Below are 21,523 nucleotides of genomic sequence, written 5' to 3'. Positions count from 1 at the left end.
AAAAATCACCCTCTTTGAAAATCATTGTATATATTACATTCATGGACATAATAAAGGGACTAGTTACAAAGAGTATGTTGTGACATTTTCTGATGTCTGTGGAATAGAGAGTTAGGATACCACTAAAAATGTAGCACAGTCAGGACTCCAGCTCATTCTCATTGCATCAGGGACATCTTTTTGGCAGACTGTGGGGACAACTTATCTTTGAGGATGGAGTAAGGACCAGGTCACACTTGTGTGCCGGCGTACCCTGTGTAAAAGCTGAGCAGGCTTAGTAAGTTTTTTAAAGAGTACATGTGAAGTATCACACTTTTTTTCAGCTCTTGAGAACAGCAGAAATCTAACAAAAAGAGAAAACTGTTTTGCTGAATGTATGTTCCTTCTTCCGTAAACCTGGAAGACCTAGCTTGGAGTAAAATTTTATAGACATTTTAATGTGGAGCCAAAAGTAAAGAGAAATGGGTTAGTCTATTAAAAGGCAGTTGAGATGAAAGGCATAGCCTGGATGTTCATTGAATTCATGGGCTAGAGAACAACACGGAGGTACCACTGCTCGCCCTTGTCAGCTCCACTGATTGCCGTTCTAGCTGCATATCAAGGGCTTGAGAAGGGAAAGGAAAGTTGGTTTTTCTAGCTCAGAGGTTCACTGATGCCAGTGAGGAGATGAAAATGAGTAAACACTTCCTGAAAAGGTAACAATTAATTTTGGAGATGGCAATTTATCACACAGCTGCAAAGGAACACAGAAGACCCTGGGGTGTATCCTTTTAGGTGGCAATTCATTGCTGTGTCTGAAATTTCATTCGTCTCCATAACACACACATCCACAAAAGAGTGAGAATGGAGACTTGGCAAAGGAGAAAACAAAGGGGAAGGAGGCATGAAAACCCTGCTCAGGTTATTAATAGCACAGACTCGAATTTCATGAATCTTAACACTCTGCTTTTGGCATGAGCAATTGATCATCTAAGACGCTACAATGCGCCCAACAATTAGGGCAAACTCTAGACAAGGGGGCTGGCCATGTGTCTTAAGGTTAAATAGCTGGGCCATGGGCAAGCACCAGAGAGGGAAATGGAGTGTGTAAAAGGAAAAGTTTGTTTTGTGTCTATGGATCCCCTTTTCCTACTTCCACTCCCATTTCAGTCCCCTTTGTCTTCATTTCCATTTTTCTTCAGTCATGGTCTCAGAAGTCACAAAGCTTCTAGTTGTAAAAAATGAAGTTCTATATCTAGCTATAAAGGCAAGATATTTCCAAGTATTTCCTCCAAGCTACTATGTTGGCATATTTTTCTCCGGTATGTGCTCACTTATATCCTAGGTTTCCTAGACTCCTATTCCTTCGAGATTGCATTATTTTCCCAATATGATAGAATGGAGTGGGTAGTATCGACATAAATGCACACAAATAACTCTGACTAAAGCCCACTCAAGACTATGCTTATTCGGGACAACGAAGTGCATTTCTTAATCTCAAAACTCCAAGGAAAGAAAACTGAAATTAATTGATAATTTCTTATGTTGTAGGTACTTTGTTACACTCCATATATCTTTTTACCTACCCATCCATCCATCTATCCATCTACCATTTATCATTCTTTGAATCTAAAAATATGTTGAATGCCTACTAAATGGTAGGCACTAATCTAAGTATCTGCCCAAATGAATCCTAACATCTATTAGGAGAGGCAGAGTGAAAAGACACTTAGAACACAGTAGAATTAATAGCAGGATAATGATAAGCTCCATTTACTGTGGAAACACATGGGAGAGGCACCTGGAATCTCAAAAGAGGTAAAATCTGAGATTGGCATTTTAGAAAGAGTGTGAAGCAAGGCAGAAGACAAAGAGTGGCAAAGAAATGGCAAATTGGAGTGGAAAGTGGGTTCTCAGCAGAGGAACCAGCATGTTTATACATTTGTACAAGGTACAAAAGAAAAACTCAAGCAAGTGAATGTAGTTAGAGCATTATGTGAGAAGGGTAGGGTAATATGAGTTGGAATTAGAAAGACAGGCATGATGGCATGAAGTTTGTCATCCTAAGGATATTCGATTTTATCCTGCAGGCAATGGGATCCATTGGAGTTTTTAAGCTAGGGCTTGCTTACTCATACATGCGCTGCAAAAAGTTATTCCTGACTATATTGTGGAAACTTGAAGATAGGCAAAATTGGAATCCAGGAAACCATTGAAGACATTACTAAAGTCAGAAGGAACACAATGGCAGTGATGATGGAGAGGAGGGGTGTATTTAACCGCTGTTAAATAGGTAAAAGAAGAGATCAAGACAACTCATGTAAACTTCACATCAATCCTATAAAGTTGATATTAATACGCACCTTATGGATAAGGCTTAGGTTAAGTAACTTGCTGACTGTTATAGAACAATAAAACAGCAGAGATATAAAATCTGTAATGTCTGACTCCACAGACCATTTTCTTCTCGCTGAACTAAACATGACTTAGCTCTCTATGGAGTTCTTTTAATGTGCTAAATCCTAGGGATTAAAAGTGAGTAAGATCTGCTTCCTGGCAACAAGATGCTCAGAACTGGGTAAACTATTAGAGACTTCATGCTACCACACCCTACCTCTTGCTTTAATCCAAGCAGTAGGTTATGGGATAGTTCTAAAATCTAATAATTCTTATAGTCAACAAAATAAATCCAGATATTGAGTTTAAAATGTTTACCCCCTTGATTTAATCCAATTACCTAAGTAATCCCTTGCTTTGCTTATAGCCAGCCACTTTCAAATATCTATAGCCCATAATGTCATTTTCTCTGAGTTGGCACTTAGCCAACCTATACGTATTTAGCTCTTTTAATCTTTTTTCCGAAGTCATTCCTTCAATTCCCCTAATCATTCCCGTAGATTCTGTCTGGCCTACCTCCAATTTGTCTACATCTTGAAAGAGCCTATCGAAGCAAAAGATACAGTGCTCTTGTTAGTAATTCTACTTATTCACAATGTGTTTTCAACATTTTCAAGCCCCTTTGTAATACTTGGGATTTTTTTGCATGAAAATAACATTGTACCTCTTGAGAAGCCTGTGCACTCCAACGTTTTGTTTATCCAAGGAGGCTCACATACCACCCACCTTTTCTATCCTAAAGCATAATGATATCGAAGGAGAAGGAATGGCAAGCATGATTAACATACTACTGGTAGTAATGATCTGTGTCTGGAATTAGGTAGTAAGAATTTATTTTTTGTTATTCTTTTAAGGCTACAGGAGGCTGCAGGAAGAATAAAAATACAATTTATCTGCAAGATGTTTCTAAATGGAATGCATTTATGACATTCTTGTAAGGCTTATTTGCAGCTCTTTAAAAATAGTTGACTATCTAATTAGAGAGATAGATCACATTGGTATAGAACTCATATACAGATAAATACTGCATTTTATAGCCTCCACTGATGCAGAGCAAAACTCACTCAGTATTTTAACTCTTAGGTTTCCTCTGTCTACATATATTTTTTAAAATGGACCTTCAAACATGCTCCCTACTTTAATCATTTATTTATTTTAATAATATTAAAAATATTCCCACCTTTACTATTTATTCATTTTAATATTATTCCCTAATTCTCTAAAGACAAGAATCTCTTATGACACACACAAAGCAAACACCATTCTGAAGAATTATTTGTCTATAGCATATTAGTTAAAATAGTCTGATAATATTGAGAGTGCAATTGACTTAACTGTCTTTAGTTTTAGGATATTTATTCATGATCCACTCATATCTCCTTGAAGTATCTCAGTGGTAGGGAAGACTTGGAAATGAATAGAAACCTAGTTGAAGAGTCATTATAGATTGCATAGCAGCACAGAATGGCTCTCTAGAGGTCCAGAACATCGAGAAAGGTTTAATAGGAAGCCAACCGCTGATTGGTAGGAAACATGACTAAGGTCCTTAAACTCTCTGCTGTGCATAGTGTTCATCACAACAAGTAAACCACTTGTGGAGGCACTGAGAAAAGGAGCCTGGCAGAGTGAAACAGGATGGCAGAGGAGAAGGATAACTCCCTGATATGGTTTGGTTGTGTCCCCGCCCAAATCTCACCTGGAATTGTAATAATCCCCATGCATCAAGGGGATTATTAAGGAGGAGATAACTGAATCATGGGGACAGTTTCCCCCATATTGTTCTTACAGTAGTGAATAAGTCTCAAGAGATCTGATGGTTTTATAAATGGGAGCTCGCCTGCACACACACTCTTGCCTGCTGACATGTAAAACGTGTCTTTCTTCCCCTTTGCCTTCCACCATGATTGTGAGGCCTCCCTAGCCATGTGGAACTCTGAGTCTATTAAACCTCTTTCCTTTATAAATTACCCAGTCTCAGGTATGTCTTTATTAGCAGTGTGAGAACAGACTAATACACTCCCCAGGGATGTTATATTTCAACTTAGTCTTGAGGGATTATTACTTTTCCAGGTAGATAAAGTGGACAAAAGAGCAATAATAATAATAATTTTTATTGAAAGGTCACTATGCAACAGACACTATTCTAAGCATTTGAAATACATAAATTTATTTTTGACTCAAAACTCCTACAGAAATGATCATATTATCTTCATTTTATAGATAAACAAGCATGCTCAAGTTGTATGTTGTATGTGCTCAAGTAGAAAGAACATGTCTGAAAGTATAACAAGGTATGACTAGAATGTTGCATGCATGTGAAAAAATATTGGTAGATAAGGAAGGAAAGAAAGACAGGTGGGAATCTGCGGGACCTTTTATGCACGATTTTCTCTGGAGGGTTGGATCACGGGTGGAATTTACTTCACAGTGATTTTTTTCTACAATACGTATATATTCCTTGTTTAGAAAGTAAAATCAGTGAGAGTATAAAATTCAGGATATTTGAGCATATGGGGAAGTGAAAGAGTGTCCTCATCTGGGGACAGTAAGTGCTAATAGAAGGGACAGAAATCAGGTTCATAGATAATTGCCTTTTTTGTTTTGATTTTGTTTTTGAAATGGGAAAGGTATATATATATATATATACACACATATATATACACACACATATATATACACATACACACAATACACATATATGTGTATATATACATATATATACACACGCGTGTATACATACACATACATATACACATACATACATATATATGTACACACACACACACACACACACACATATATGTCTATGATGACGGGATGATATTAATGGCACCAGTGGAAAATGAGAACACTAAATGATGTCCAAACCTTGGGAAGAGACCCGAGTGAAGAGATAATTAGCATAAGATTTCAAACAAAGGGACGAAGGGATTCCCCTAAAGTAAGGACTGATGTGGATAAGCATGGAGGAATTCAAAGAAACTCATGACTGGTCAGCATTGTTTTCTAAAAGAAGGTAACATTTAAAATCCAAGTGTGTAAAAAGTGAAAAAGGAGACCAAGTTGAGAGTTTGAAATAGGTGCTGATCAAGAGTTGGAGGTGGAATGGGGGAGAGATAAAAAACAGAGAAGTCTTCTAAGACCAGGTTGAAGGCAGAAGGAACAGAGACCATTTGGAATGATCTAGAATGAACACAACAGAGAGAAAAAGGAATCTGGGTTGATGATGAGAAGTACTTTATAGATATAGACAAATGAAAAATTTGCTGAAGCCAAAAAATAAAAAAAAATTAAAAACTGCCTGGACTTAAGCATAAGATTTGGAAATTATGGTTAATCAGCAAGATATTAGGGCTTTAAAGTTTTGAGATTTAGCAGTTCAGAGACAGGACAAGATGCAGGGTGAGGCCATCAAGCTGGGTGGGCCTGTAGTGGGGGCCTGGCTGCTATACTAGTTCAAACCACAATCAAACTTCATCAGAATTAAAGCAATAGCCATGTATTAGGTCTCTCTGCCTCCTCTCTTGCTGCTTTACAATATTTTCTCAACATGGCAGAGTAATCTTTAAAAAACATAAGTCACATCATGTCACTCCTTTACTTAGTACGTTCTAATAGTTTGCCATTGCACTTTTATAAAACCTAAACTGCTTTCCACAGCCAAACAGGCCCTGTCTGTTTCAGTCCCTGCCACTTCTCAGATCTTACCTCACACCAGATTTCTTCTGCTACAGCCATATTCATCATCTTTCAAACACTGCTCAACATGTTCCAGCCTAAAGGCCTTTACACTAACCGTTCCCTCTGCTGTAAATGTTCTTCCCCCAGACTTCACAGACCTGACATGTTTTATCATTCCAATCTCAGGTTAAATGTTTCTTCCTTAGAGTAACTTCCCCTAAACTACCTACCCACCCATCAGGCATTCTGTGTGACATTGCGCAGGTTTATTTTCTTGATAGCACTTGTCCCTGCATATTATATTCTCTTGCTAATTTATTTATCGGTAGTCTCTGCCCCCACTCCCAGAATGTATGTTCCATAAGAACTAGAATTACTGATTTTATTGTATTTTCATTGCAGCCTCAGAGTCTACAAGGGTGATGGGTCCATAGCAGGAATCACCCTGCTCTCCCAAAAAAATGTTTGTGGAATGAATGCGCTGAGAGACTAGGGTGCTTGAGGGATGGTCCACTCCTTTAGATTCAAAGTCAAACCCCTTCATTTTATAGGCAAAGGTTTAACGGTCTAAGAGACATTTGAGATAAGAAGGATTAGGAAATTATATCAGTAAGCCATAGTGGAAAAACATAAAACCAAGATAAGAAAGGGCACTATAGTAGCTTGGGCACCTTAAACCTGAGATGAACTGTCCTAAATATTCTTCTAAAGAGCCCACGGAGCATTATTTTCAGAAGGTGTTATCGTTGAGAGACATTTATAATTTAAAGTGCAAACATTTCATATATTCAGAATTAAACTGCATTGCTTTCTTTTGATTTGGAGAAGGTTCAGAGGGGGAAAAAAAGTGCAAAGTAATTAAATAAAAGCCTGACCCAGTCTCTCACTGATTGCTTTTCCTGAAGATCTTACTACAAATGCAGTTTAAGAACAAAAGACACATCGAGGTTTGAGTCTGACAAGGAAGTTTGAAAGAATTAGCATGTTGCTGAGGAGCCAGTTCCATTTTCAAGTTGGTTGGGCCACACTGCTGTTCTGTTAGTGGTAGGGACTACTCCATCAAAAAGGCAGAGAAAAGGTTCTTTTGGAGTCAGCATGGAAGTCAAAGCTATGTGTGCTTTTTAGGGCCTGGAGCTGGCACCCTTCTAAGGAAGAGATTGCAGCTAAGAGGTGCCCCTTGCCAGTTCAAATGCATCTTCAAAGCAGCAGTCGCATCACGAAGAAAAGACCCCATTAGCATTCACTAAGTGGTGACTCCTACTCTGGGGAAAGAAGCCATCTCTCCACACCCAGGAGAACCTGCTAAAAAGGAAAAAGAGCCTTGTCTTCTGAATGATCTCAAAATAGCATTTAAATGCAACAGAAAACGGAATGCTCCCTGCCATTAAAGAGTGAAGAACTTATCTGGGCAAAGAACTGAAATAAGCTAAGTTTGGAGGCAAAGACTGTGAAAACTACTATTCATCAGGTTTGGGTGGAAATGCCCATTGTTACTACTAATAATTACAACAATGATAACGAATGAATTTAATCCTAAAGCAGGAGGCATAATCTCCAGCGTAGGCATGAAAGTTTTGTAATCACCCAAGCCTCAGCTGTGCCAGGGAAGTAAGAGTGGGAAGAACTCAAGAAAAGGATTACAATTAAAAAGAAATTGACATCTGTGAATTGAATTGGGCACATTATCTCCAGCTTCTGGTTCAGCGTTTTTATTACAAAATTAAACAGAGGGGCTAATTAGACTGCAGGAAAACTTCCACTGAACTCCGCAGTTTCCACCAAGCAGAAAGAAAGACCAAAGTAAGGCATGAGAAAAATAGGAAGAAGAATCAAATTTTCACGTTGCTGATTTCTGGTTATTAGTGTTCAATGAAAGACACAAGCAAGTGAAATACCAGAAGGCTGTAAAGTCCAGAAACCTAGACAAATGTACATGCTAAAAGGTTTCTTGATATTACAACATATGATAGGTTCCATGACATTATTGACATTACATCCATAACCATTATATGATCTGTTCAATGTGTATGGTCCCTCATCAGCAAGCATAGTTTCATGTACCGTGCAAAATTGAGATGAGTGTGATATATTAACACATTCCATGGAACCTTGCACATGGGTCTGTGAGGCATTGCCTTAAATGATTCATGTCTCCAATTTTCACTAAGGGGATCTGCACCTTTGGCATAGCACAGAGGTAGGGTTCAGACTGGGAGAGCAGGCAGCCCATTCCACATGACCATGTGATGCAGTCCAGCTTTGGAAACTCTTTTCCAACCAGTCCCACACCCCTTTGTCATGAGTCATAATAATGGGAGGCTCACTCTTGGAATGACCTATCTTTAGCCCATTAAGTGGGGACCTTAACTGGTCACTTTACTTGGTCGAATATGGTATGCTTCCAGACTTTAGCATCAATGCGTAGTCCAAAGCCAGAGGAACGCGATACAGTATGATCCCTACAGCAGGGCCTCAGCATAGGCTATTTCCTTTGGCGGGAACACTGGCCCTTGTCCTCTTTTGCAATCTAATATCTCATCCTGCACAGGACAGCTTCTATACTGCTTCTACAAGAAAGCTTCCCCAGATGACAACACTACCTCAGGTCCTTTTCTGCTGTCTTAGAAGCCTGTCCTCCTTTATCACACTGTGTCATGATTGTGATTGAATAATTATGTGTAAAATTGGTTTGTTCATGCCTTCTTCCCATGATATAAGTACCATGAAGACAGGCATCCTACACTTGCTTTATTATCTTTTTAACTCTATCCAGATCTGTCCACACAGCAGGCAGTGGCCATTAAGTGTTTATCGACTAAATAATCTTCCCTTTTCCATTCCCTGCCACCACCTTCACATTAGGTAGTGAATAAAATGGCTACAAAGGCCCCTGGCTTTTCAAATGCCACCTCTTCCTTGAAAGCTAAACCCAAAATATAGGTTTGCCAGAATCTCCACAGTCTTTTAGAGGAAAAATACTTCCATCACCACCTGGGTCTCTCTGCTCAGGGAGTTTTGGGGCAGTCTAGGAGAGCTGGCTGAGGCCTTGTTCAATTGTCAAATCATACCCTCAACCTCGTTTAGTGGACTCTTTAGGACACAACAGGATTTAAGAGGCTGGGCACAGTGGCTCACGCCTGTAATCCCAGCTCTTTGGGAGGCTGAGGTGGGTGGATCACGAGGTCAGGAGATCGAGACCATCCTGGCTAACACGGTGAAACCCCATCTCTACTAAAAATACAAAAAATTGGCCAGGTGCGGTGGTGGGCACCTGTAGTCCCAGCTACTCAGGAGGCTGAGGCAGGAGAATGGCGTGAACCTGGGAGGCAGAGGTTGCAGTGAGCCCCGATCACGCCACTGCCCTCCAGCCTGGGTGACGGAGTGAGACACCGTCTCAAGAAAAGAAAAGAAAAAAAAGAAAAGGATTTAAGAGCACCAGACATGACAAAGCCATCTCTGATATTCTCTAACACAATCGCCTTTCATAGTGCATTGCAAAGGAAAGTGTCTTTTGAATTTAAAAAGGATGCTGAGGTAAGGAAAATGTTTACAACAGAGGACGGAGGCAAACTCCCTTACAAAAATGCCTAATCAGGTGAGGAGGACAACAAGAGGATGTAGCTCACTGAAAATGAGGGAGAGAGAGAAAGAGAAACACAATCACACTTTAATTTCCTTTTTATCAATGACATGACTGGCATTGTTTTATGTAATTTATTTCCCTCTAATTATTAGCAGACATATTGCTGAATGCAACATAAAAATAGGTAGTCTAGACAGTTACCTCAAATCTCCTAATTAAAAAAAACAAGAATCTCCCTATAGTTATTTGAGTCAAAATAAATTATGCATGTTTTCTATATGGTTGCATGGTGCTTTTAGTATGATGTTGGAAGTGAGTTTTGCTATTTATCCTCTTACTTCTTCAAATATTTTGATTTACTTCAAAGCCTCCAGCTTCGTTTTCTGGCTAGAAATAGCCCTGGGAACATCCTCATCAAATTCCTTCTGCACTTTTCTATTCATGATTGTCTCACACTAGTTTCCACTTAGCTCTCCTTCAATGGAAGTAAAATGTAGCTTGTACCTAGTGTAATTATTTAATCAAATTCTATTTTCAGTGTGTGTATATATAATTCCTATTGGAATTGTGTACTGATAGCAAGTTCTTGTATATGTACATCCATCCAACATTAATTCGGCATTCTTTTTGTGTGGAGCCCCATCTGTGTTCTTACAATATATTGTTTCTCTTTAGGGGAAAGAAATATGTGGGAGTAATTCTTTTTCTACAGCTTCTACCAACTAGCACATGTAAGGTAAAGTAAATAAATATATTATGGTGATAAAGCTGGGAGCCAAATGAAAAGACTTTATCACCAAACACTGTAGGATGGAACCCAGTGACATGCAAACATATTGATTGACATTTTGTAGCATAAAAATTCCAGAGTGACAATTCTAATCCTTGCTCCTCTCAAAAATATAAGCATCTGGTGTGAAGCAGAGGAATGAGCTTATGCTCATTTCTGGATGTAAAAAATTCAAAGGGTTTATACATATTATTTAATTCTCATTCTTTCTGAGGTGGCTAAGAAATGAACATGATTGGTGAAACTGAAAAAAAAAATAAGGGCTCTTAAGGGAATACAAAAAAGAGTTGAACATTTTGCCTTGGGTTAGAGAGGGAATTGGTGGTACAGTAATTCTTAGTGGAATTGTGTAGTGATAGCTAGTTTATATATACATACATATGTATATGTATATGTATGTATATATATATGTATATATAAACTAGCTATCACTACACAATTCCAGTAAGAATTACTGTACCACCAATTCCCTCTCTAACCCAAGGCAAAATGTTCAAATATATATATATATATATACATTATATATATCTCAGATCTCTACTAAAGTTGGTTACCCTCAAAACTTTATGCTAATTAATTATAGCTATTCATTTTTTGTGTGTATGTGTGTGTGTTATAGTTTAGTAATAGCTTAGCTCATCAAATCATACCAAAGTCAGGATGCCAACACAGGGCAGCTAATCGGCAAATAACCACAACTTTACAAAAGCAAGAACTATAGGGGGCAGCAGCATGTGGTTCAAGAGACCTGAGTTGTAAGTGCTACTTTGAGGTCCACTGATAAGGATATTTCAGAGAGAGGGTAAAAAAAAAAAAAAAAAAAAAAAAAAGTAAAAATCAGTGCAGTCAAGGAATTAGACACCAAACTGTGATGTCAACAGCTGCAACATTGGATGCCCAAAAACATTGGACGGATGCTTTTAAATTTATTAGTGAAGATAATTTCCAAGATACAAGTCCTTCCCAGGCAAATTATCGTCAAGGGTGAGAATGGAATAAAACATTCTTCAGATGAGCAATGTCTCAATGATTTTACTTTTTAGCTATCCTTTCTCAGGAGGCTACAGGACAATGTGCACCTTGAAAATGAGGAAATAAATAGAGCTGAAACTAGGATTTAATACAGGAGCAGGGCCCAGGGATTTTCCAGCATGACGAGCAAGGAAGACGCAGGATGATAGCTGTGAGGCAGGCTCAGCGAGCGCCCAGCCCAGACTAAAGCAGGAGGTCAGACGACTCCAGAAGGGAGACCTCCAAGACAGAAAAAGAAATAATGGAGTCCTGTCGGTTTATCTTGTGAGGTCTTTTGTAGCTGTTGGCTGTGGCACTGATGGGTGGCTAGAAAAATAAGCTAACGAGATAACGAGGGTATTCATTAACAAACAAAGAGTTACAGGAAAACAGAAATTGTCATAACAGTATAATGTTTTGTCAGAGGTAGAAATATAGTCTGTTGTTTTTCACTGCTGTATCCTCAGTCTCTAGAACAGTGTCTGGCACATTCTATGCAGCTGGTGAATAGTTGTGGAACAAGTCAGTTCATGTATGATCTTACATTGTTTTCAATAGGCGATATTACAAAGTCATAATAACAAACTCTGAACATTTATTTAATCGAAATGCGATAGAATTTTACTGGGAAACTGGAAGGTAAAAAAGTGTGTGTGGGTTGTAGGGCAGGGAGAGCATGAGAAAGCTCAACTTTTACTTCCAGAAGCAGAAGTCATTAGTTAATATGTCAAACTGAAAAAGTCAAGAAATAGAAATGCAAGCATATTGCTAGAACTATGAAGGGAAATGTCTGAAAAGGATATAAAAGGGTTACCAGTATAGAGCAGGACTTTAGGGCAAGGTTAGAAAGATACTACTGTTTTTCTTTTGTTATTGTTGTTTTCTTATTTTAAGTCTCACGATGCTATCTATCTATCTTCAGCTGCGTTTTCAGAAAACAAAGTCTGAGGCCCGGTATCGTGTTTGGGAAGTTTGGGGAGAGTGACATCAGAGTCTGGGCAGAAGGGGGAGGTGAACATTCATGCAATAGAGACCTCAGCTGGCCTTAGGAAACTCTCTAGCTAAAAGGCCCTTCCCAGTTATCCAGTCTTGAGACAATGGGCTGAGTCTTGATAGATCCCCCCAGCTCCATCATCCATCATTAATTGGATATGGGCCACCCTTCACCATCATTAATTGGATATGGGCCACCCTTCAGGAAGGGGCTTGACCTTGGTTGGGCAAGGTGGCTTCAATAGTCAAAGGCAGTTCTTCGTGAAGGATTTAGCCAACAGCCATCAGCCAGCACTCTAGCAACTAAGGTGATGCCTTTTCCCCAAAGGGGATATCTAGGCACAGTTCAAGGTTTTAAATTGTGTGGCTGTATTACTTAGGCCAACCACAGTGGCTCACACCTCTAATCCCAGCACTCCAACGCAGGAGGATCACTTGAGCCCAGGAGTTTGAGACCAACCTGGGAAATAAAGTAAGACCTCATCTCTATAAATAAATATATAAATAAGAAATAAATAAGAAATAAATATATATACATATATACACTAAAAATAAACTATGTGAATATATTGTTTAGATAAAAATAAATTAAAATGTGAAATTACCTGTTGTTTACATTTTTTATAAAGTGGTTGAGCAATTTGCCCCTGGACGTAGAGCTTTGAGCAATGAAACTAGTACTTGAAACCAGAATGGCCCATCTCTGAAGCTCATCTGGTTGTGTGGGGCTCAATCTCTGAGATTCTTCCAATATAAACATTCCATAAAACTATAATCTCAAACCAACACAAGAAGATATTTGCCATAAACATTGCAAATTTAGTCTCCAGGACCGAAATATGTTTCAATCACTTTATTGTAACTTGCTTTACGGTTTCTGTCTTTTTTAGTCAAAACATATATTGTTTACATTTGAAATTTGGTCTTTTTTGAATAGAAATTAAAGACCCTATTCTTGGAATAGACCTCTGTAAATATAGATGGCTGCTGCCTTTGCAACTGTACTAGCCAATCAGCATGCTAAAGTTTTTGTAAAAAACTGGGCTGCAAGTGAGTCCGCTTGTAGTCTGAAAATATTTAAGAACAGTACCAGACTGTGTGTTCCTCTAAAGCAGAAAAATTTCTATTTCATTCTTTATTTCTCCAAAGTCTTGCACTTATGAGACACCCAATGTTTGTGGAATAGAAAATGTTCTCCATAAGAAAAGAGGGTTTTTGTCTGTTTACTGATGTTGTTCAAGTGCCCAGGACAGTACTTAGCCCATACTAGGCACTCAAATAACTCAAATATTTTTTAATGAAATTCAAAGTCAAACTAAAATTGAAGTAACATGGGGGCACCTCAGTTATATATCTCATGCCCTCATAAACTGGACTGTGGAAGTATACAGCATTTTTGAAACCAGATCATAGTACTCCTTGTCTAGGCTAATGAATTTGCCATTTTATCAGTAGACACGTGTTACAATAGCACTCTTATTGTGGTCCCAACTTCCCAACTAAGACCACTGCTGTGCAGTCTTCTTAAATGACAGAGCCAGAAATCATTTAGCAGTCACCCTTTCTTTGAATGAGAAACAGGAGAGAATCAGACACTGTGGTTTATACAACACATAAATAGATTTTTATTATTTTTTTTTAAAGTAGCCCTTTCAAAAGCTTGAAATCAACCAGGATATGGAGGTAATTATATTAAGAGTGTTACAGAGCAACGAAATTATTCTGTTTTTTGCATAAGTGGTCAGGGATATAATTTGCATAAGTTATATCATATTGATTCTAGCAGACAGAGACTCAATAAAGACAAAAGAACACATGCAAAAATAAATCCCTAGGGAAAAAAATCAGAAGCCGCAGATGGAGGCATCTATTATTTTTGACTTTAAATGGAAAACAACAGCAACAATAAAACAAACAAACCCCCAAATAAAGGACAACAATCATAACAAAAACCCCATCCAGGTTAATTCTCTTTCATAAAAACTGTCTATTTCTCTCTTTGTCCTTGTTCATTTCTCCCTCATAAAACCTGCTTTCAAATGTCATCCCCTCCCCCTTGCCAATAGATCAAGCATCCTCTAACAGGATAGATAGATAGGGTAGTAAGGAACTAATAATGATAATAATAATAATGAGAAATGGCCTCAGAGATATATTTCATGCATCTTCCTCTCTCCTTGTCTGTCTTCAGTGGAATAGCTTCCCAGCCAGTAGGGCATTAATCATGAGAACAGCAGCCCCGAGATAAAGGCTGGGTGAAATTTCATTGTGCATTATAGTGTGAGTTGTGGGTGCATGAATATGTGTCTCTCTCAGTATCCGGGAGGAGAAAGTGGAGAGGCAGAGCAGAAAAATCTGTCATTTTATACATTTATACTGCTTAAGATGGTCAGGACTGGCTCCCCATTGTTACCGTGGATTAAAATCATTCACATCCTTCTGCTTCCATTGGAGGTCACCTCTCAGAAAGGGGGATAAATATTATGACAAGTTAAATTTTACCTATGTTTTTTTCCATCTGCCTTGGGGGTATGCAGTAAAGTAAGGGACAGGAAGAAGGGGCATCTGAAACCCGGAGCAGCATTGTCTGATGGGATACAGTTTTCTCTTCTAATCCTTAGTTGGGGTATCCACCCTTTCACTTACATTAATACTTTGGGTTAACAAAATTTCCTGTCTTGAAGAGAACTGAGCTAAGTTTGGGAAGACCATTTGGAAGAGATAGGTAAACAGATACCATGATTACTCAGCAAGGAACCGTAAATATTTCCTAGAGCCTTGCTCTATACTCTATAGTGAGGTACACATATCTGCAGCATGAGATCATCTGGGAGCTTGTTAGAAGTGCACGATCTGAGATACCACCCCGGACGTGCATTAAAATCTGTGCTTAATAAGATTACCCAGGTGATCTGTATACACACATTAAAGTTTAAGAAGCACTGTTCTCCATAGTGCAAGCAAACACGAGCATCCTCCCTCTCTCCCTGTCTCTCTCTCTCTCTCTCACACACACACACACATAATAAGATGGGGCCAGAGATATAAGAGGTTGCATTATACACACAAGTCAATCAAATTCCCATCAAGTAATTCTCTCAGTGACTGCTAGCCACCACAGACGTGGTGTGCATTTATTTCCCCAATCATTTTATTTCCCCAATTATTTCATCCATGAATGATGAGGAAATCAAGGAGAACCTTACAAATCACCATTTAGCTAACAGAACAAGCTCTCTAGACAACCCAAGGCATTAATTAGAAGGTTTCAAAAGGCAAGGCTGTCATAACAGCCTCAGTGTGTTTCTAATTTTTACAATCATTCAAACATGCACCAGAAAGGTATGAAACCACATCCCACCCCTCCCACCACCTTGTCATAGACATAATGGAAATATCCGCCTTGATGCCTGGCAAGTGACGATTGCTGCTTGAAGTCGTTTTCCTATTATATATAAATAGAACATCATATATTTTCAGAAAAAAAAAAAACAATTCTTACCTCAGTTTAAATTGAAACCATTGGCTTTTTCTTTTTTTTGGATGATTCAAGAGACATTTATCAAGTACAGTCATTCCTCAGCATCTGTGGGGGATTGATTGGTTCCAGGACCTCCCATGGATGGCAAAATCCTCAAGTCCTCAATATAAAATGGCATAGTATTTGCATGTAACCTATACACATCTTCCTGTGCATTTTAAATCATCTCTAGGTTACTTACAATGTCTAGTACAATGTAAGTGCTAGGTAAATAGTTGTTATACTGTATTGTTTAGGGAATAATAGTAAGAAAAAAGTCTGTACATGTTCAGTACAGACACAATTTTTTAAAAATATTTTTGATTCACAGTTAGTTGGTTGAATGCAGATGCAATCCCACATATGCAGAGGGCCATCTATAATCTACCTTTTACATAGAAGTGGTCATTGTGATGTCTCACCCAACAGCTTTCAGCAAAGAGGGGAGATATAGAAAAAATATTATTTATATTATGATTTTAATTATATCAAAGATATTTTATTCATCTCTCTCAACCTAAGCCATACAAATCCATGAAATGGGCACGTAATTCTTATAGCAATAATTACAGAGCATCGCTGCTGTCTTTCTCTCCTTCTCAATTTTTCCTTTCTTTTACTTCTTCTCCTTTCTTTTACTTCTTCTAATTCATTGTTTCCTACATTTAACTGTCCCTGTGTGTGTGTGCCCAAGACACTATGCTAGATAATGTTAAAATAAAACTTTCTTTTCTGAGGAAAGAGCATAGGCCCAAGGAAGCTAATTGCCATATCAGAGACCACAAACTAGCAACAGAATAAAAAAGAAAATATAGTTGCAATACTGGTTTATCAGCTGAGACCAGATTATAATCCCATTTAAGACAGCAGCAATAATAATCTTTGAGCCGCACCCATTTAAGCCCTTGACTTATATTATCTTAACCTACCCTTGAAGTTGGAAATCATCCCCATATTTCAGATAATAAAAAAACATAGCTCCACAAAGGACCCTGGCCAAAATTCTACAGCTAGAAATGAAGGTCTGCCTAGAGTCATGGTTTTAAGAACTTCTCCAGTCATGAGCTAAGTCTCCTGATGCCTGCTTCAATGCACTTTCCTCCGTACCAGGCTGCTTCCTCCTAACTCCCTTTGCCTACTTTGTAAATAAATTATATTGGCCCCCACTGCCTCTTCACTCTGATGATAAGCATTTGCTTAACTTACTTTCATTCGTTTAACACATTTATTTTTCTTCAACTGATATTTTTGAGCCCTGCTTTGTGGCAGGCACCATTCTAGGCTCTAAATGTCCAATGATGAGCAACATAGCTATTGTTCCTTCTCTCAATCATCAATGTTTTTTCAAATTATCACTAAAAATGGGTAAATATGGGGCTAGTCAAATTATAGGGTTTCAGACATGAATAAATGGTGCTCACACAATATACTCAGCCATTAGACCAATGTTGGGGACCAGCCTCAGCACCACCCGTAGGGTACCCGAAGTCCGGTGGCGACAAACGAATGAGAATAGACAGGTTAAGAGTGCATAAAGAGTGGAGTGCCAGGGGGCCAAGTGTAAAATGGAGGCTGCAAAGGCGCCAAGCTCTGGTCTCCACACTATTTGTTGAGTACAATCACTTAGCTCTAAGAAGCAGATGTTCAGGGGTGAAACGGTGAAAGGGGGGCGGTGTGTCATACACCTAATCTATAGCAATGGCAGTTTAGGTAAATTTTCTTTGTGCTGAAGCAGCATAAAATTAACTACTGATTTATTCTTTAATTTATCGGAGAGCAGCTGGGGGGAGTGGGCCTCACTAGGAGCCAGCATATCTGGCCACATTTCAATGCTTCAAAGCAGAGTCTTTCTCCTTTGAACACAGTGTTTACAGATAAGAGAGCAGATCTCGCTCTGAGCCTGGGAACATGATGGCATTTAGGAGGCTTTCCTCCTCAGAGGCCTCTTGTGGCTTTCAACAACTTATTGTCCCATATTTTTATGGCCAGTTTATGCAGGCACCACCCTACAAGCCCTTTTCTCAACAGACCAAAAAAAAAAAAAAAAAAAAGTAAAAAAGCCTCAAGTTAATTTTCCATCCTTACCAAGTAATTTTTATTTGCATATATTTGAAAGTGGGTTTTAGGAGAATTAAGGATTAAGTTATTTGGAAAGGAAGAAGAAGAAACTGGAAAGGGAAAGGTGGGTGATATTACATTTCCAAAAGTGATTTGAAAACTATACGTGCTAGAATTAGCCCTTGCTTTTGGCTGAGCAACAAGACTGGAAGCTAACAAAAATAATCTTACATACCAGAGACAAGGAGATATCTCTGGGACTCCTTATTCCTAGAGCAAAGATCCAAGAGCAGCAAACCCAGTGGTGCCCACCCTCACTGGTGAGCCTCATGAGGGAGTGGGTCCTGGGAAACAGGGGCTTGGATTCAGCCTGTAAATATTGTGTGGCCTGTGGACTCCCTGAGAAGGTACTGGTGGATGGTTGACTATTTATACCTTTCAACCAACATTGACTGCGTATTACTCTGTGCTCGCTACTGTTCTAGGCACTGTGCTATTTTAGTGCCTAAAATAAAGATCTTGCCATCCTAGAACTCACAATCTACTAAATAGGGACAATAAACAAATAAATGTGAGCTATAATGTCAGGCAGTGATAAGTGCTATGAGAGGTAACAAAACAGGAAAAGGCGATAGAGTGTTGTATTTTACAGACGGTCAAGAAGGTCCTTTCTGGAAGGTGCAATATAAGCGGAAACCTGGGTGAAGTGAGGGAGTGAGTACTGTGAATAGCAGGGAAGGGCTGCTGCAGGCAGAGGAAATGGCAGGTGAAAAGGCACAGGCACGCTTGGCACATTCAGGCAGGGCTGAGAAGATTGAATGAGACACTCGCTTAAGGTGTAAGATTTAACGGGGGTTTGCTAAAACTTTGTTTTCATTTGCTGAAATATTTTAAAATCAATATTAATGCAGGAAAAAAATCTGCAAAAGCAAAAAGTCAAATATCAATTTTAAGATGAAAATCTAAGCTTGCAATTGCATAATCCTGCCTCACCGGTTTCACCCTTCTTCTTGCTCTGTGTTCAAGAAGGATCAAGAAGACCTGTGTGATTGGAGCAACGTGGTGGAAAATATGGTCAGAGCAATAGGAAGGAGGAGAACCATATGCCACGCAGCAAGGATTTTGGCTTTAGATTCGGCTAAAGAGTCTGTTAGGTAATTAGAAAAACCACCCTGAGGTTTAAAAACACTCAGGGACCTCCACCCGTGGGTAGCCAAGAACTGACCCCACTTCCCTCCCAGCTGTTCAGATGCCTAGAAATAAGAGCCAGCACTTTATTAGTAGTTCTGGTGGAAATTCCATCCTGTAAATATTACATCCTAATTGGAAGGGCATCTCTATGAATTCTCCTGGGAGCTTTCACACTTCGTCTGCCCTCAGGACCCTTTCATCGACTAGACCTAGTTTTGGAAAGCACCTGTTCCATCCACCAAAATTACGTATTAAAGGAAGGATGAAAACAAACTACACTGCACTCTTTTCACTTGCCTATTTGTACTGCCAACATCTAAGTCTTTAAGAGGAAGGTAAACCCATCAAGCTCCCTTTTCTGTTGTTGTTAGAACTGTGCAGTTCCAGAGAGTAAATGTCACCAGAGAATCTTACCAGGCAACAAGTAAATTAGAGTGCAATTTCTCTCCCCCCAAATTATTCTCTAAGAGGGAAAAAGAAAGTACCTGCGTAAGGGTAAGGAGAAGACAGAAGATATTTCTTGGCTGGCAGCTAAAGTCTGATTAGACTGACAAATCTTCAGCGCCTTCTCCAGTTATGAGGCTTGGCAGGAAAAGAACAAACCCTGGAGCCTCACATTATGTAAGGCTGTTAATCAATATTAGTTGAGCCCTGATCCTAAAAATAAACTTCCCCCGGAGGCTCTGTTGTCTAGTGGTAAAAGCAAGGAGATGAAAACTGTGTAGATTCCTTATCTCATTTCTCTCAAGCTGGTGGCAGCAGGGAAAAGGTGGAAGGACCCAGAGGGGATAATTCTTTGGGTAAATATAACCAGTTTTGATACAGTGTGATCTACATCCTGCTATAGCACAGTATTTGGGGATAAGGTGGATCTATCTTGTCTCCCAGTGCAAGGCAGTTTGATTATTTGAAGACCTGGAGAATATCTGAGGTTCTAGTCTGGGCCTCGAAGTGCCATTGATAACAACATGCTGTAAATCTGTGTGTCATCGTAGAACCATGTGATATTGCTAATATTTAACCATTTTGATCTACAAAAATAGTGGTTTCATACACTTCAACCTAATAGAATAGTCTATGTGTTGTAACTGTTCAGCAAAGCCAATTCCCACTCCAGAATATGAAAGAGCCTGCCGTAGCAATCTCTCCTGATTGATGAGCTTGGGGCTCTGATTCAATCTGGGGCCCTTAGAAGAACTCACAATCCAGGCCCTTGTGAGTTTGTATGAGTATAAACAAAATTGTTCCTGGGCTTATCCAGCCCCACAGGAAGGCTAAGCTCTAGGGAGATCTGTGAGTTCTGGGAGAGTCCCTTAGGTTGAAGTGGTTTCCTTATGTGAAAATTTTTACTGAAAAGTTATGGGGTGCTTTTCACACATGATTGCACTTTACTATTTACAAGGAGCCTACGGGAAAGGTACTGTAAGGCCACTTTTACAGACAGTAAAACTGAGGCTTAGAGAGGCTAATCACCTGCCCAGAGATATACAGCAATATGGTTTGGCTCTGTGTCCCTAGGCAAATCTCATCTCAAATTATAATCCGCACATGTAGAGGGAGGGACCTGGTGGGAGGGGGGATCAGGGGGGCAGTTTCCCCACTCTCCTTTCTCTCTCCGGCCATCATGATTGTAAGTTTCCTGAGGCCTCTCCAGGCATACGGAACTGTGAGTCAATTAAACCTCTTTTCTTTATAAATTACTTAGTCTCGGGTAGTTTTTTATAGCAGTGTGAGAACAGACTTATACATACAGCTAAGCAACTGGAAAAACCTGGAGTCCAACTCAGAAACTCTGACGCAAAAGCCCACGCTCTTCAACACACTGAGACTCTACCCAGAACAGACGTTGCGCAGGATGAACATTTTAATCCAAAGTTTTTTCTTTGTTTTGTAATCATCAGTATCAAGGCTGAAGCATGCTTCTTACTGTCTCCAGTCTGACACTGAAAAGCTAAGAGTACTTTGCCTATAAGAATTTTTACAAAACATGAGAAATTGTGGCTTCCTTCTGGAATTTGCAAAAGTGGTTCACATTCAACCACCAAGTTTGTGAAGCTTGAGAATGAAATCTCACAAACCTCTTAAGTCTTTCATTTTGACTAGTTATAAGGATAGTTCCAATCCATGCTGAGCATTGTGATTTTCTGGCAATTTTCAGGCAGCAGTTGCCAATGTCAAGGTGACTTTACCAATGCCCAACACAGAAAAAGTATGTCATGATCAGTATCCTGCAAATAGTTTATAAATGATTCCAAATGGTGATTTGCACAGAACACACTGAGCTTTTTTTTTTTTCTGCTGATAACTCAGGATGGAGACA

General features: G+C 39.1%; 1 protein-coding gene across 56 annotated transcripts in view; it reads right to left on the bottom strand.

Moving 5' to 3' along the window:
- The window catches only part of NRXN3 (neurexin 3), a 1,697,919-nt gene that overhangs the window by 143,867 nt on the left and 1,532,529 nt on the right, over window positions 1-21,523 (bottom strand). For 2 of the 56 annotated variants that reach the window (XR_001750609.1, XR_007064051.1), the window contains one exon: window positions 15,937-16,075. The exons of the other annotated variants lie outside the window; for them this stretch is intronic. The gene's annotated coding sequence lies outside the window, so the exon portion shown is untranslated. The remainder of the gene's footprint in view (window positions 1-15,936; window positions 16,076-21,523) is intronic. 56 annotated transcript variants of the gene reach the window in all.

The sequence above is a fragment of the Homo sapiens genome, chromosome 14 (assembly GCF_000001405.40).
Source record: "Homo sapiens chromosome 14, GRCh38.p14 Primary Assembly".
Lineage (NCBI taxonomy): Eukaryota > Metazoa > Chordata > Mammalia > Primates > Hominidae > Homo > Homo sapiens.
Note: the sequence above shows the minus strand (reverse complement) of the source record. Positions and strands in the feature narration are given on the sequence as shown.